The sequence below is a fragment of the Homo sapiens genome, chromosome 10, assembly GCF_000001405.40.
Source record: "Homo sapiens chromosome 10, GRCh38.p14 Primary Assembly".
NCBI classification, from domain to species: domain Eukaryota; kingdom Metazoa; phylum Chordata; class Mammalia; order Primates; family Hominidae; genus Homo; species Homo sapiens.
In genome coordinates, this window is record NC_000010.11 from 130,559,262 (window position 1) to 130,561,055 (window position 1,794).

The 1,794-nt window shown below is 56.5% G+C and overlaps 1 annotated feature.

Annotated features, from left to right (window-relative positions):
• Positions 1,076-1,577: an enhancer, noted in NCBI's record as "H3K27ac hESC enhancer chr10:132358601-132359102 (GRCh37/hg19 assembly coordinates)". NCBI's record gives its function as "activates a minimal SCP1, AML or CMV promoter by ChIP-STARR-seq in primed H9 embryonic stem cells {active_cell/tissue: H9 hESC(primed)}" and the evidence as "EXISTENCE:reporter gene assay evidence [ECO:0000049][PMID:30033119]".

Below are 1,794 nucleotides of genomic sequence, written 5' to 3' on the forward strand. Positions count from 1 at the left end.
CTGTTATTACTTATTAGCCTACGAAGGCTTTCCAGAATCCACTGGAATTGACATGCACGGATTCCCGGAGGTTTGCTGTGCTGTCCTCAGTGGAGGTTGTGAAGCCTCGAGGGTCCTCTTGGGTCAAATGAGTCAGGCCGGTCCTGAGTGTGCCCCAGGGCCTAAGGGCGGGCCAGTCCTCTGGCTGGACAGCATGGGCAGAGCCTTCGGCTGTCATGGAGCACATTCCTGAAACCCAGAGTGTATCTCTGCTCCTTTGTCATCTGAAATTAGTACCATGGTTACATTTTATTTCAGAAGCAAAACTATGGATTGTAAACTATAATTACGTGGTAATTATTTGGCTGCTGCTGTAAGTGAGTGGGGTGCTGAGAGAAAGTGGAAAACAGCTCCTTGGAGCCTTTGGGGCCAGGCCAACGCTGAGCATCTGGGCTTCCAGGAGGGAGGCCTCGGCTCTGCCAGCAGATGCCCTTTGGGCGTGTCCTGGAGGGGCAGGAGCAGGCCACGCAGCTCTTGGGAGCCTGGGCGCTGTGTCTGCTAGGTGTGTGGCCACCTCCTGGCCCTATGGCCTGCAGAAGGCATTGGTGTTTGCCCCCAGGGGCTGGGATGGTACCTGAGTCATTGGTATAGCCCTGGCCCAGAGCAGGTGTTAGGGAATATTTGTCAAACTGCATTTGAGTTCTGCAGAGCCCTTCTTAGCCAGGTCCTCTGACTGCCCCCTGCAGCTCTCCACTGTGGTCTCTCCACCCCTCTGGGCTTGGATCCCCGCCTGTCCATAACCACCATCCCCTACCACCTTGCCTAGGACATTCCCAAGAATGCTCTGGAATTTGGGGGATGCCACGTTATTTCCTTCTTGGCCTTTGCAGCTCTAAATGTGCCTGAGATTTCAGGTGTGCATTTGATTAGGAAGGCCTGAGCCTCTGCCCGCCGAGTGTCCTGCCTCCTCTTCGGAAATTCTTCCTCTGGGGATCTTGCCTCATTACCTGAGGACTCCACTCTCTCTTTGGCCCAGAGGAGGGTGCTGCTCTCTCTGCAAATGCCAGGCACCAGGGGAGGCTTGCGAGTGACAACCCCCTTGCTTCACAGCGAGCGCTTTATAGGCTCAGTAAGTGGGTTTCGACATGTATCTCCCCAGCGCTGCCTCCTTAAGATATGAGGAAATGAGGCAGGGGGGATTTCGGTTGTTTTATGCCTGGCAGCCGGGGGATGCTTGAGGAATTCATTGGTCTTTGGACACCGCGGCAGGGAACAAGGCTGGCTCTCAGGCTTGCCGGGCTGCAACCTCCTGGAGGGGGTGTGATTTATCCTGTGGGCGGCATCCTCCTGGTAGCTCTGAGTGGGGTCCCTCCCTGGAGTCCTTTCATGTGGGGTGGGCAAGAGCAGGTGGTGTTCGCACTGGCATGGGGCCATCTTGGACTAGGTGAGCAACCTGTGAGGAGTGCAGGCACATCAATGCGACAGACCAGGCTGCTGGGCACTGACCTGCCCTGTGGTGGTCCAGCCATCAGCCTCCTCTGTGCTCAGGTGCAGGGCCCACCCCTACCTGCTGGACGCCGGCTCATGCAGCTGGGGCTTTTCCAGAAGGAGTCCAAGCTCAGAGGATAGCGGCTGCTGGGAGTGGATGCCCCGTGAGAATATATTCTTCTCCAGGTCATTTTCTTCTCCATGGCCCTGACACGAGTCCTCAGGACTCACCCCACAAGAGTCCCGGATGGACACTGGCACAGGGCACAGGGTAGCGGCTTCTGGAAAAAGAGTGGCTCTTTGTTCGGATAGCCCGGCTCCCTTAAC